The sequence below is a fragment of the Homo sapiens genome, chromosome 4 (genome assembly GCF_000001405.40).
Source record: "Homo sapiens chromosome 4, GRCh38.p14 Primary Assembly".
In the NCBI taxonomy this organism is placed as follows: Eukaryota; Metazoa; Chordata; class Mammalia; order Primates; family Hominidae; genus Homo; species Homo sapiens.
Window position 1 is genome coordinate 88,982,144 of NC_000004.12, and position 14,017 is coordinate 88,996,160.

General features: G+C 37.4%; 1 protein-coding gene across 15 annotated transcripts in view, besides 1 other annotated feature; it reads right to left on the minus strand.

Annotated features, from left to right (window-relative positions):
- FAM13A (family with sequence similarity 13 member A) overlaps positions 1-14,017 on the minus strand; it is a 331,226-nt gene that overhangs the window by 256,184 nt on the left and 61,025 nt on the right. For 13 of the 15 annotated variants that reach the window (XM_047449481.1, XM_047449479.1, XM_011531516.2 and 10 more), the window contains one exon: positions 8,830-9,007. The exons of 1 other annotated variant lie outside the window; for it this stretch is intronic. In XM_047449481.1, the coding sequence (XP_047305437.1) occupies positions 8,830-9,007 (178 nt within the window). Of the gene's footprint in view, positions 1-8,829; positions 9,008-14,017 lie in introns of those variants that run through there. One more of the 15 variants, XM_047449485.1, reaches the window with a different exon arrangement.
- Positions 5,537-6,036: an enhancer, noted in NCBI's record as "H3K4me1 hESC enhancer chr4:89908831-89909330 (GRCh37/hg19 assembly coordinates)". NCBI's record gives its function as "activates a minimal SCP1, AML or CMV promoter by ChIP-STARR-seq in naive H9 embryonic stem cells {active_cell/tissue: H9 hESC(naive)}" and the evidence as "EXISTENCE:reporter gene assay evidence [ECO:0000049][PMID:30033119]".

A 14,017-nucleotide genomic window follows, 5' to 3' on the forward strand; every position in this document is an offset into this window, starting at 1 on the left:
TAAGTTGAAGAAGTTGGCTTGTGTTGAGAAATTTTACTGGGTAAGAACATTTTCTATTCCATTAAATATTAACAAGCATACTCAATACTGTAAGAAGCTTGTTCTAAGTGAGAACTATGACAACTGAGGTTAAGAGCAATGTCATGTCTTCCATCTCATGTTTCTAAAGAGCCCAGTTCATTAACTAGTACGATGGGCAGAGCCCATAAAACCTGATCTTTCCCTTAATGCAATTTTAAATGTATTTAATTAAATGCACATGGATTCTAACTCTGCCAATTGCTTACAATGTATGAGGACTTTCTCTTACAGTCTCACTTAAATTTCAAAGCAAACTCTGTGGGTCCTGTTTTACAAAAATTTAACAGGAAAATAATGCAGGCCAAATCTACCTGCATTAGTAGAATAAGGACTACTAATGGGCAGAATAAGAACTAGACTAACTTCCTTTTATACGTCATGCTATCCAAACCACTGAAAATCCAATACTCATTTTAATAACTATCAAAACTTACAGAAGCAATTCCTGCTAATTTCTAAGAATGATAAAGTATTCAGAGGACTTTTGCCTTAGAAACTGGGATATTGGGGATTTCCTTAGAAAAATCATATACAACATATATAGCTCACAGTCCAAGGTTTAATGAATTTTTAAAAGAAAATATTTATGTAGTGACTCTGTGAGGTGATGCCCAGGTGTCTCCTTCATGCCAGAAGTATTCATTATCCACCCAATCTCACTCAAAGTGTTGCCTGCTTATGGCTCATGGCTAAGTCCTTCTTCTGAGACTACACAATGTCCCTGGCACAGCTCACCTCCAGTGATTGATGGAAATGGGGTAAGGAGACTAAACCCTTTGACTCAACTAGGGATTTATCTGAAAGGTCATCCCATCTTCTCAGCTCCCCTGGGACTGAGTGAATCCTGTGTTACAACTTGATGGCAGTTCAACTTCTGCCTAATCCTACCTTCCTCTGTTCCTTATAGGTATAAGGAAAGAATGGTTCCAAAAAGTACTACCCAATAAAACTTCTGCTTGAAAACTTAGTCTCAGAGTTATACCTTGGATAACCCAACCTATTATATCAAGTGGTAAAATAATAGTGAAAATGAGGAGACAAAGTAATACTGAGAGGAAAATTAGAGTTTTAAGTGTGATTATGATGGATAAAAGAGACTAAAAATAAACAAAATAAGTATTCAACAAGGAAAAATAAAACCTGAGCACCTAATAGGAAAATGGCAAAAGATACAAACAGGTATATGAGGAAAAAGACAGATGGCCCTTAAACACAAGTAAAAATGTTTAGTTTCATTTATAAGAAAACACATGCAAATTAAAACTATATTGGTATTAGCAATGAGCAATCTGAAAATAAAACTGAGAAAACAATTACATCTAGAATAGCATCTAAAAGAAAAAGATACTTGATAATAGATTTAACAAAATAATTGCAAAACTTGTACCCTGAAAACCATAAAACAGTATTGAAACAAATTAAAGACCTAAGTAAATGGAAAAATATTTCATGCTCACATATTGGGAGATTTAATTTTGCTAAAATGGCAATAGAGTCCTCTCCAAATTGGTCTCCAGATTCAACAGAACATCCTATCAAAATATTGACTAACTTTTTTGTAGAAATTTACAAACTGATCCTAAAATTTGTAGAGAAATACAATGAACCTAGACTAGTCAAAATAATTCTGAAAAGAAGAACAAACTTGGAGTATTGAAACTTCATGATTTTAAAACTCATTAAAAAGCTATAGAATTATCAAAATACTATGGTACTGACATAAGAATAGATATACAGATCAATGGAATATAACTATGAGTTCAGATATAAGCCCCAATAATTGTGGTCAACTTATTTTTGACAAGAGTGCTGAGATAATTCAATGGGGAAAAACAATCTTCAACAAATGATGCTGGGACAACTGGACAGCCACATGCAGAGGAATGAAGTTAGACTCCTTTATACCATTCACAAAAGTTAACTCCAAAATAGCTCCATAGACCTAAACATAACAGTCATAACTAAAAAACTCTTAGAAGATGAATAAATCTTCATGATCTTGGTTAGCCAAAACTTTCTCAGGTACAACACAAAAAGCATAAGTGACAAAAGAAAAAACAGATACATTGCACTCCATCAAAAATAAAAACCTCTGCACTTAAAAGGACATGATCAAGAAAATGAAAAGGCAACTTATAGAATAGAAGAAAATATTTACAAGTCCTGTACCTGATAAGGAATTTATATGCAAAGTATATAAACAACTCTTATAACTCATCAATAAAGACAAATAAATCAACTTAAAAATAGGCAGAAGATCTGAATAAACATTTCTCCAAAAATATACAAATGGCCAATAAGCACATGAAAATATTCAATGTCATTAGTAATCAGGGAAATGCAAATCAAAACCAAAATGAAATAGTGTTTCATACCCACAGGAATGGAATAAAAAAGATATTAACAAGGATGTAGAGAAACTGGTTCGCCCATACATTGCTGATGGGAATGTACATGGCCATGTGTCTTTCTCTTCATATATTTTTGTCTTTTGCCATTTTCCTATTAGGTCCTCAGGTTTTATTTTTCTTTGAATATTTATTTTATATTAGTCTCTTTTTGCATGATAAGCACATCCCATTGCTGATGGGAATATATGAGGGAACAAATGCATGAGGGAATGTAAAATGGTGCAGCCACTTCAGTAAACATTTTGGTAGTTCCTCAAAATTTTAAACAGTTACCATGAGACCCAACAATTCTACTCCTAGTTATATACCCAAGAGAAATGAACACATAATTCTACACATGACATGTACACAAATGTTCACAGCAGCATCATTCGAAATAGCCAGAAACTAGAAGTAACACAAATACCCACCAACTAATGAGTTGATAAACACATCAACTGGTGTGTCTCTACACTGAAATATTATTCTGCCATAAAAGGAATGATGTACTGACACATGCTACAAAATGGATGAGCCTTGAAAACATTTTGCTAAGTGAAAGAGTCCAGTCAGAAAAGAACACATATTGTATGATTACATTTATATGAAATGTCCAGAATAGGCAACTCTCTAGACACAGAAAGTAGATGAGTGGTTGCCTAGAGCCAGGTTGTTGTGGGGAGTGATTGGGAAGAAATGGGAAGTGACTGCTAACAGTACAGCATTTCTTTTGGGGGTGATGAAAATATTCTATAAGTGACCGTGGTGATGGTTACAGAATTCTGTATCTATTCAAAACCAACAAATTATATACTTCACATGGCAAATTGTACGGTATATAAACGGTGTCTCAATAAAACTCTTAAAACTTAAAAAATCCACACTGGGATATCACATCTGACCTATCAGACTGGCAAGACTTCAAAATTTTTGCGAAATCCTCTTGGCAAGACTGAAAAATGGACACTCTTGCATGCTGCTAACAGACATGTAACACTGACTCATCCTCTGTGGAGGGGAATTAGGGCTATCTAATGATATAGAGGCATTTGTTCTTTGACCCAAAAATCTCATATTTAGGAATTAATCTTGGTGATACATATGCACAAGTTTATTTGATGTGGGATCATATCTAACAGTAAAAGATGGGAAACAAACGACCATCAGAAAAGTACCATTGACTAAAACTTACTTTGTCCAAGCAATGAAGTAATACACAAGCACAAAAAAGAATAAAAAAAAAAAAACTGTTGGAATGATCTCTAAGATTTGCAGATAAAAAGCAAAGTGAAGAACAGTGTAAGGAACACATAGAAATAAGAATGCACACATATAGACATCACATAATACACAAAATGTAACTACATATACACACTTATTTTTACCAAAAGAAACATTGAAGGATAAGCCAGAAACTAATAAAAATGTTTTCCAAAGACACCAAGAGGTTGAACAGTATAGAAAGAATAATGATAAAAGGGAAACTTCTGAGTAAACCTCTTTCTCTTTACATAATTTTCACTTTTTTTTTTTTTTTGAGATTGAGTCTCACCCTATCTCCCAGGCTGGAGTGCAGTGGCACAATATCAGCTTACTGCAACCTCCACCTCCCGGGTTCAAGTGACTCTCATGCCTCAGCCTCTCAAGTAGCTGTGATTACAGGCATCTGCCACCACACCTGGCTAATTTTTGTATTTTTAGTAGAGATGTGGTTTCACCATGTTGGCCAGGCTGGTCTTGAACTCCTGACCTCAAGTGATCCGCCTGCCTCAGCCTCCCAAAGTGGTGGGATTACAGGCATGAGCCACCGCGCCCGACCAATTTTCACTTTTAAGCCACGTAAGTGTTATAAAAATTTAAACAAAATTACATTGAAAAGGAAAAGAAGCTCTGCATTCTAAAATTGGAAATGGATTGAAACAAGTGAACTCAACCATATGCCAAATGGCGAAGACAACCACCCTTTACTTTGAATGCATTCTCTTAGCCAGATATAGGACAGTACGGACTGCCCGGATGTCTTAAACATTACTCAGTGGTTTCCCTGATGTTGTGACACTTTATTTATATCTATACATAAAATACACATTTTATTATGTTGTGGAGAAAAGCAAATAAATATTCTTATTTTTTAGGAAGCAAGATTTTCACTGTCAGAGTATAGAGTTACAAATATGAAATCAAAGTTGTTAAGAAAGATTATTATAATGTTAAAATTAAACTCAAAATATCAATATAAATCCATTATTTCTTCCATTCAGTCATTCCATCATTCAAGTATTCATTTCTTTCTTTATTTCCTTGCTCTAGAAGTCATTAAGACCTAGATGCAAATAACTTAGCACCCAGATCTTGGCTTCTAAATGTAATTCTTCTATAGAAGAAACCAAAGCCCCTTGGAGAAATGGTTAATTCCATCCTGAGACATCATCTTTAGCTGAAAAGGTAGGAAATACTGTTACAGGGTTTTGTCAAAAGGACACAGTTGCCAGCCTAAAGGGACTCCCACAACTGCCAAATTTGGGATAATTTGAGCACAGGAAAATTTAATGTTGTTCATTCCCCACTGACAAGGGAAAGCTCTTCTTTATAGAAGAATATCACTAAAAGAAAAAGAAAAAAAAATACTAGTAGAGTTTAAAAATCAACATTCTACAACCCAAAAAGAAAAAACTGAATCAGACTAGGATTTTCAATAGACAATCAAACTGATAGTGAATAGGGAGGAATACACATTTGCATGATGCCCAAGTAGTCACCTAATGAATTACTTGCTAACTGCAAAGGGAATGCCACAGCCTTACAATACAGAGATTTGAAAGTGGTGACTTTAACTAACAAAGCAAACTAAGCATCAACAAGTGTGAGACAACTTAACATTACATGGCTTCTAATCGGATGCAACATTAAGGATACAATATCACTGATAAGGTATTCTGGCCAAAAAACTTAATCTGAGGCTGGGCGCGGTGGCCCACGCTTGTAATCCCAGCACTTTGGGAGGCCGAGGCGGGCGGATCACGAGGTCAGGAGATCGAGACCATGGTGAAACCCCGCCTCTACTAAAAATACAAAAAATTAGCCAGGCGTGGTGGCGGGCGCCTGTAGTCCCAGCTACTCCTGAGGCTGAGGCAGGAGAATGGCGTGAACCCGGGAGGCGGAGCTTGCAGTGAGCCAAGATCGCGCCACTGCACTCCAGCCTGGGTGACAGTGAGACTCCTCTCAAAAAAAAAAAAAAAAACTTAATCTGAATATAACTTGACTTATATATGACTTATAGATTATAGTAGATTCAGAGGACAGAAAAATGACTTAACCACACAAGAAAATAATCAGACAAATCCACACTGCACAATATTCCACAGGATGATGTCTGTTTTCTTAAAAACTCAATGTGGATGCATCAGGAAAAACAGCTAATGTATACTGTGCTTAACACCTAGGTGTTGCAGCAAACCACCATGGCACATGTCTACCTATGTAACAAACTTGCACATCCTGCACATGTATCCAGGAACTTAACATTAAATTAAATTAAATTTTTTTCAAAAGTCAATGTGGTTGAAAAAAAAAGTTGTGGTTAAATACAAACAAAACAACAGTGTGGGCACCCCTGCACATGGGTGTGCACACATGGAAGGACTGTTCTTTATTAAGACATACTAAAGAGGCCTAACAACCAAGTAGAATGGATGAAGCATTGGATCGTCTTCTGAGAAAAATAAATTGTGACAAATTGGGATACTTGAATGGACTCTCCAAATGATATGATGGAATTGTCCATTTTCTTAGGCATAATAAGTATATTACGGTTATGTAGCAAAAATTCCTCATTTTTAAGGATGCATTATTAAGTATTTAACAGTGAAATAGCTGAGGTCTGCAACTTAGTTTCAAATGGTTCAACAAAAAATACATATTTACATATATACAGACATAAAATGCATTTGTTTTATCTAGTTAATGAGAAAATGTATAATCATTATGCTCCTTCAAATTGTATGACTGAAATTTTTCATATTATGAAAACAGGAGAAAAGCTTGAAAAAACCAGTTAAGTTCTAGTAAATTGATAAATATGAAAATAGGAGTTAATGAAACAGAAAAATTTTAAGGCAAATTTATTCAATAAAGTTAAAAATGGATCATTTGAGAAGAATAATAAATAGACAAAAAGCTCGGCTACTCTGGCCAAGATAAATAGTGAGAAGACAAAATTAACATTAGAAAAGAGAAAGAAGATGTAGCAACAGACAGTAACATTTAAAAATTTGAATGAATTATTGTATAACGTTGTACCACATACATTTCAAAAGCTACATGAGGGTCGGGCCTGTAATCCCAGCACTTTGGGAGGCGGAGGCGGGAGGATCACTCGAGGTCAGGAGTTCGAGACCAGCCTGGCCAACATGGTGAAACCCCGTCTCTACTAAAAACCCCAAAATTAGCCGGGCATGATGGTGGGCGCCTATAATCCCAGCTACTCAAGAGACTGAGGCAGGAGAATCGCATGAACCCAGGAGGCAGAGGTTTCAATGAGCCGAGATCTCACCACTGCACTCCAACCTGGGTGACAGAGCCAGACTCTGTCTCAAAACAAACAAACAAACAAACAAAAAGCTACATTAAACGACTGATCTATTAGGTAAATGGAATTTGTCAAGAATACTAAAACTAGCTAAGCATTAGTTTAAAAACCTGAGTTGGCCAGGCACAGTGGCTCATGCCCGTAATCCCAGCACTTAGGGAGGTCGCGGCAGGTGGATTGCTTGAGCCCAGGAGTTTGAGACCAGCCTGGGCAACATGGTGAAACCCCGTCTCTACAAAAAATACAAAAATTAATTGGGCATGATGGCATGTGCCTGCAGTCCCAGCTACTCAGGAGGCTGAAGTGGGAGGACTGCTTGAGCCCGGAGGGTGGAGGTTGCAGTGAGCCGAGATTGTACCACTGCACTCTAGCCTGGGTAACAAAGTGAGACTGTCTTAAAAAGAACAAAACAGGTTAAATTGGTATATTTTATTTTATGTATATTTTACAACAATAGAAAAACTGTAAAACCATACTAATTAGAACCTATAATAAATACTCATTACTTACTGATATTCTGACTGACTACCTGGAGCAGATTACCAGAAATTCCAGATCAAGCCCAATGTCTAAGTTAGTAATGAGGTATGGATCTGTGTTTAATGCTTACTAAATAAGCATTCTATTTACAAATTCATTTTTACCTGTTCTAGAATCTAGGTTTCAGAATTATTCAACAGTTTTCTACTTACACCTTTCTCACATGTAAGTCACCAAACAAAGGTTTACTGGGCAGAACAAATATAAGAAAAAATATAGACTTTTTACTATCACGGAGCTTCTGAATAAGACAAAAAATTAGTGGATCCTGCATCTGAGATATTTATTCACGAGACCCTAACATATCCTATGAAATGCCATTACTTAAAAGTTAACACCTTTAGAATTACAATCAGGATAGTTATTACAGTAGAACTTCTACCCAAATTAGGCTGTGAATGACCTGGAACCCTGTAGTCACTAGGATCTAAGCCAGAATCTAAATTTAGACAGTCATTCTGAAGACTGTAATATTACTAGTTCTGGGCAGCTGAATAAGCCTGTATATTAATGAAGTGGAGAAGTAGATATGCTATTAAAAAAAAAGTTGCTGAGTTTCTGAGAGCTTTTGGAGTGTAAATGTTCTCTCTCTCTTAACTAGAAGAATGTATTTGATATCAGAGGTGATTAATAGGAGAGTTAAAAGCAAAGTCCCTGGATTGCAGGATCACATTTCACGTATCAAAAATTAAAGAGCTTTATGGAATAAGAAGGAGAATAAAATATTAAGCTTTACAAAAGTTCCTGTGGCTAGCAACAAAGAATCTACTAAAATAGACTGGTTTATTTCCAGTAAATGAAGCTGAGGTTATATTTTTCTGATACTGGCATAGTCTGTTCATAATTTTCCATCTATTGGCAATAATTTGAACTTTATTACTATTTAAAAAATTATTCACTATGTCATACTCCTTCTCTTTCTGCTAATCAACATTTCTGATTACAGATTTTTTAAATGCCCCTTTTAATTAAAATATAACTTATTTCCAGATTTTTAAATAAGGCTATTTGATTTATTGCAAATTATAGTTTTGTAAAAAGGGCATAGCTACCTTCTTCAAATTGGGATGAAAAACAAGGCTAACATGCCCAAGAACAAGATACAACTTCTCCAAAATAAGCTGGCTGAATTTTCAGACTGAAATATGCTTCTACATCCCAGTAATTTCAGACAGTAGTAAACACAAAGGGGGACATGATGATATTAACAGTAAAACTCCACTAACTTACTGAAAGCAATTTGGCCCAAATACAGTGGCGAGATTGTGAACATTCATGCGATTCTGCACATGATGCTTGGCTACTTTTGTCAAGAACTGGCAAAGGTACTTGAGGAGGCAGTAGTGGGTGTCTGGCAGCTCTTTTATTAAGTCTCTTAAGCTACTCTCCTGAACATCATTTCTGCCATCTGGAAAAAAAAAGAATAAAAATGTTCTAAGGTATATTTCACAGTAACAACAACAAAAGCCCATAGGTGTAATACATTCTAACATTTTATTCAGAAAAAAACTCTTGAGAGACTGAGATAGGCCTTGTGTATTTGACTTTATGTTAAAGAATTACTAACTTACTGTAGTCCCAGCTACTCAGGAGGCTGAGGCAGGAGAATGGCATGAACCCGGGAGGCGGAGCTCGCAGTGAGCCGAGATTGCGCCACTGCACTCCAGCCTGGGCAACAGGGAGAGACTCCGTCTCAAAATAAAAAATAATAATAATAATAAAAAGAATTACTAACTTATGCAAGAAATATTTAAAAAACCACAAGGTTTATTCAGTGCACAAAATGGGTTTGTGTTTCAATTTAATGTTTTAATCCCCAAATTAAGACAATGGTTAGGTTTTTGATCCACAGTGGAATCTTCCATTTGATTTTTGTCTTCAACTTTGTCAAAATCAGGATTCTTTTGAATAAAATTTGATATGAGAGACCTTCAAGGGACACCATGGGGGATGCTAAACTTAGTGATCAAGGTACTGTACACAGAGAAAACTAAAGGAAACTTAATTCCTAAACAGCTTTTTAATCTTGACAAAGATTATCTCCTTGACCAATCTCTAGTCAGACTTCTCTGAGCTTTTTTTCAACTAAGCCCTGTTCTGGGCATGTCCTCAAGAGTCCACTTTTAGTAAGAATACTGCTAAGTCAGTTCAGCCAAGATCCCCACCCTTCCTATCTGATAACCCTCCATATCTGACCAAATTACTCATTTCCCACCATCCTCCAAATGATGTCTGATCACCTTAGCCTGCCTTCAGCAAGAAACTTGTTAGGTCTGTTTAGCCATAATCTGTCCTGACCCTTGAGGTTTCCTGTTAGTAATTTTCCACCCACTGACTGCTGCCTATCCCAACTCTGGTATATGGTCATGTAATTCCCACTTTCCCTTGTATTCCAAGTTGAGCCCAATCTCTCTGCCAAGCTGCAAAACCCCAAATGCAGTAGTCCCTCTAGCTATCATAATAGTCCTGAATAAAGATTGCCTTACCATTCTTTAACAAGTGTCAGAATGAATAACTTTTTTTTCTTCTTCTTTTTTTTTTTTTAAGGAGTCTCGCTCTTGTCACCCAGGCTGGAGTGCCATGGCACAATCTCAGCTCACTGCAACCTCTGCCTCCTGGGTTCAAGCGATTCTCCTGTCTCAGCCTCTTGAGTAGCCGGGATTGATTACAGGTGCACACCACCATGCCCGGCTAATTTTTGTATTTTTAGTAGAGACGGCATTTCACCATGTTGGCCAGGCTGGGGCCTCCCAAAGTGTTGGAATTACAGGCGTGACCCACCACACCCGGCCAGAATAACTTTTTCTTTAACAATATCTAACATGTCATATAGTTCAGAATTTGATATATATTTCTCATACAAAAGACGAATAACCCAGCATACACCCCAAAATGTCTAACAATATATCAAAATTCATAGGCATACATATGAGAAGTTTCTCTCAAGTCTCAAAGATTTGTTTTGCCAATACTTAAATATAGTAAAATTGCTAAGTTTTGTGACTTTGTATAATGCTTTCTCTCAGAAGAAAATAAAAATATTTTATAACAAATACAGCAGTTTAGAGGAATGACTACAATCCATTACTTTAACAGACATCTAAGAGAATAAAAATGTAATTCAGTTATAATTAATAAGCAGTTGTACTGCCTACATAAGTCAGCTTTAGCCAGTTAAGTGAAGAACAGAAAAATGAGGGAAATGAGATACAAAATCAGAGAATTAATCAGTGTTACAAAGCACCTGGATAACATAATGCTACTGACAGGAAGTGAAAACATATAGCAAATCAGACACAGTGACATTGAGAGGCTTCAGAGCACAAGATCAGAATGAAGGCTCAAGTCATTTCTGGGGTGAGGAACCTGGTTCTGCTACCTACTACTTATGTGACCTACGTTGTGTTGTTTATAATATTTTCCACTGCACTATGACCTTAAATAGCAGGGATATATAAGATAATGAAATAATTAAGTTGGAGTGATTAAGAACTAATTGGAGATACCCATTTCTCATGCCTTTATATTATGAAAATAAACAAATAATGAACCAAGAGAAAATGTTCTGCCTTCTTTTTTATGGTGACTAATTCAAAGTGAGTCTATGGGATGTTTTCATGGGTGTTTGCTCTCTGTTTAAAATTGTGGTCTGATTGTCAGCATTTAAAGGTAACAAGCAACAGCATTACAACAGCCTTGATAATCAGCCTCTGGCCTTCTGGCTCTGAAATGAAACCTCAAACCATAAGGCAGGCAATGTGTAAAGATACCAGGTCTAATAAAACGAAGATTCAAAATAGTTGTGAATTTATGACAATAACATCTTTGAAAAAGCAGCAGCATTTTCATCATTTTCCAATTTCTGAAATACGATAAACAATTTTTCCAGGAAATAAAACAGCCAAACAATGGGAAGGGAGACGGATGTATTTAGAGAGTTTCATGTTTAGCAAAATGACATAAAATCATTTATGGCGGCTGGGCGCGGCAGCTCACGCCTGTAATCCCAGCACTTTGGGAGGCCGAGGTGGGCAGATCACCAGGTCAGGAGTTCAAGACCAGCCTGACCAACAAGATGAAACCCTGTCTCTACTAAAAATAACAAAAAGTAGCCAGGCATGGTGGCTAATCCCAGCTACTCAGGAGGCTGAGGCAGGAGAATCGCTTGAACCTGGGAAGCGGAGGTTGCAGTGAGCTGAGATCATGCTACTGCACTCCAGCCTGGGCGACAGAGCAAGACCCTGCCTCAAAAAAAAAAAAAAATCATTCATGGCCTGAATGGAAGAATCACAAAATATACTCTGAAAAGTCAAAAGTAACTGAGAAATATCTTCCATCTACCTCCTTCCATTTCCACAGCATTTTTGTTTCCTGTGATGGAAGACAGATTCATCGATTCCTGGATTCACCCACTGGACAAGGATGTGAGCGTCCTCTACATCAGCGGCTTTGACAGCAGCACACCTACATTTATAATTTACTTCTTGAATCCCTGTTCAAATATACTGACAGTACAGTAAAGACCTTAATTTATTAGCATGACATTTTGCCTCATCTCTTTTCATACAGGTTAATTATGTATCTGCATTTTGTAAAGTGTTTCTGGAAATATCTGGTAAATATTACCATTACTGCCAGCCTGCTGCAACCCTACAAATAAGATTTCCTACATATGAGAATAATAATTGCTCAACACCTTCAGAGGAGGCTTGTAGAAGAATGCCTAGGGTAGCAGCATGGGGGCAGTGGTGGTACAAATGTGCCTATTAGGAAGATGCCTTCTGACGCTTGCGAGAAAGAAGGCTCATAATAATTGGCAGGGTGTGGTGGCTCATGCCTGTAATTCCAGCACTTTAGGAGGCCAAGGTGGGCGGACTGCTTCAGCCCAGGAGTTTGAGACCAGCCTGGGCAACATAGCGAAACCTCGTCTCTACAAAAAATACAAAAATTAGCTGGGCATGGTGGCACATGCCTGTAGTCCCAGCTACTTGGGAGGCTGAAATGGGAGGATCGCTTGAGCTTCAGGAAGTCAAAGCAGAAGTGAGCCATGATCATACCACTGCACTCCAGCCTGGGTGACAGAGTGAGACCCTGTCAAAAAAAAAAAAATTTCCTAATAATTACTTTGCTATGGCTTTATTTTTTGATTTATTCATATCTAAATACAATAAACACTGCCTTATACATTCATGTTCTCGTATTTATATTGATAATTATGATGGCTCACTTAAGGTCTCACATTATAAAAGTTTGCAATGCTTCTATTTTTGTTTACATACATCCAAAATGTATATTTGTTGCACACTATGTATATTTGTTGCACACACGCATCCAAAATGTATATTTGTTGCACACACACACCCAAAATGTATATTTGTTGCACACATGCACCCAAAATGTATATTTGTTGCACAAATATACAAACAGTATATTTGTTGCACAAATATACAAACAGTATATTTGTTTATCACACACTTTCTATGTGTCTAACATTCTTTACCACCATGGGGAAGGCATTAAACAATGCTGTGATGGTTAATATTGAGTGTCAACTTGACTGGATTGAAGGATGCAAAGTATTGTTCCTGGGTGTGTCTGTGAGGGTGTTGCCAAAGGAGATTAACATTTGAGTCAGTGGACTGGGAGAAGCAGACCCACCCTCAGTGTCTGGGTGGGCACCATCTAATCAGCTGCCAGCAGAGGAACATGGAAGGACTAGACTGGCTGAGTCTTCTGCCCTCCATCTCTCTCCCGTTCTGGATGCTTCCTGCCCTTGAACATCAGACTTCAAGTTCTTCAGCTTCTGGACCCTTGGTCTTACACCAGACCCACTCTTGGACCCTTGTATTTTCCAGGGGCTCTTGGGCCTTCAGCCACAGACTGAAGGCTGTGCTGTGGGCTTCCCTACTTTTGAGGTTTTGGGACTCGGACTGGCTTCCTGGCTCCTCAGCTTGCAGATGGGCTATTGTGGGACTTCACCTTGTGATCATGTGAGCCAATACTCCTTAATAAGCCAAATACCCATCTATTCCATTAGTTCTGTCCCTTTAGAGAACCCTGACTAATACAAAAGCAAACTCCATGCTTTTATGAAACATATTCTAATCGAGGGGAAGACAGACAATTAAAAAATGTTTAAAATATATGTGAAGTGGTAACATACATGCTATGAAGAAACAGAAAGCAGGATAAAGTGGAGTAAAGCAGAGTGATGTCAGGGTACAAGATGTTATTTCACTCAATATGGTCAGGGAGGCCCCTCTGATACCATGACATTTGAGCAGAGCTGAAATAAATAAGGAAGTGTGTAGTAGGCAAGGAAACAGCACACGCAAAGGGCCTGAGGCAGAGGTCCTGGGGCTGGGGCCAAGTGGTGGTGGGTGGGGTGAGTAGCAGGAGATGAAGTGGGGAGACAATG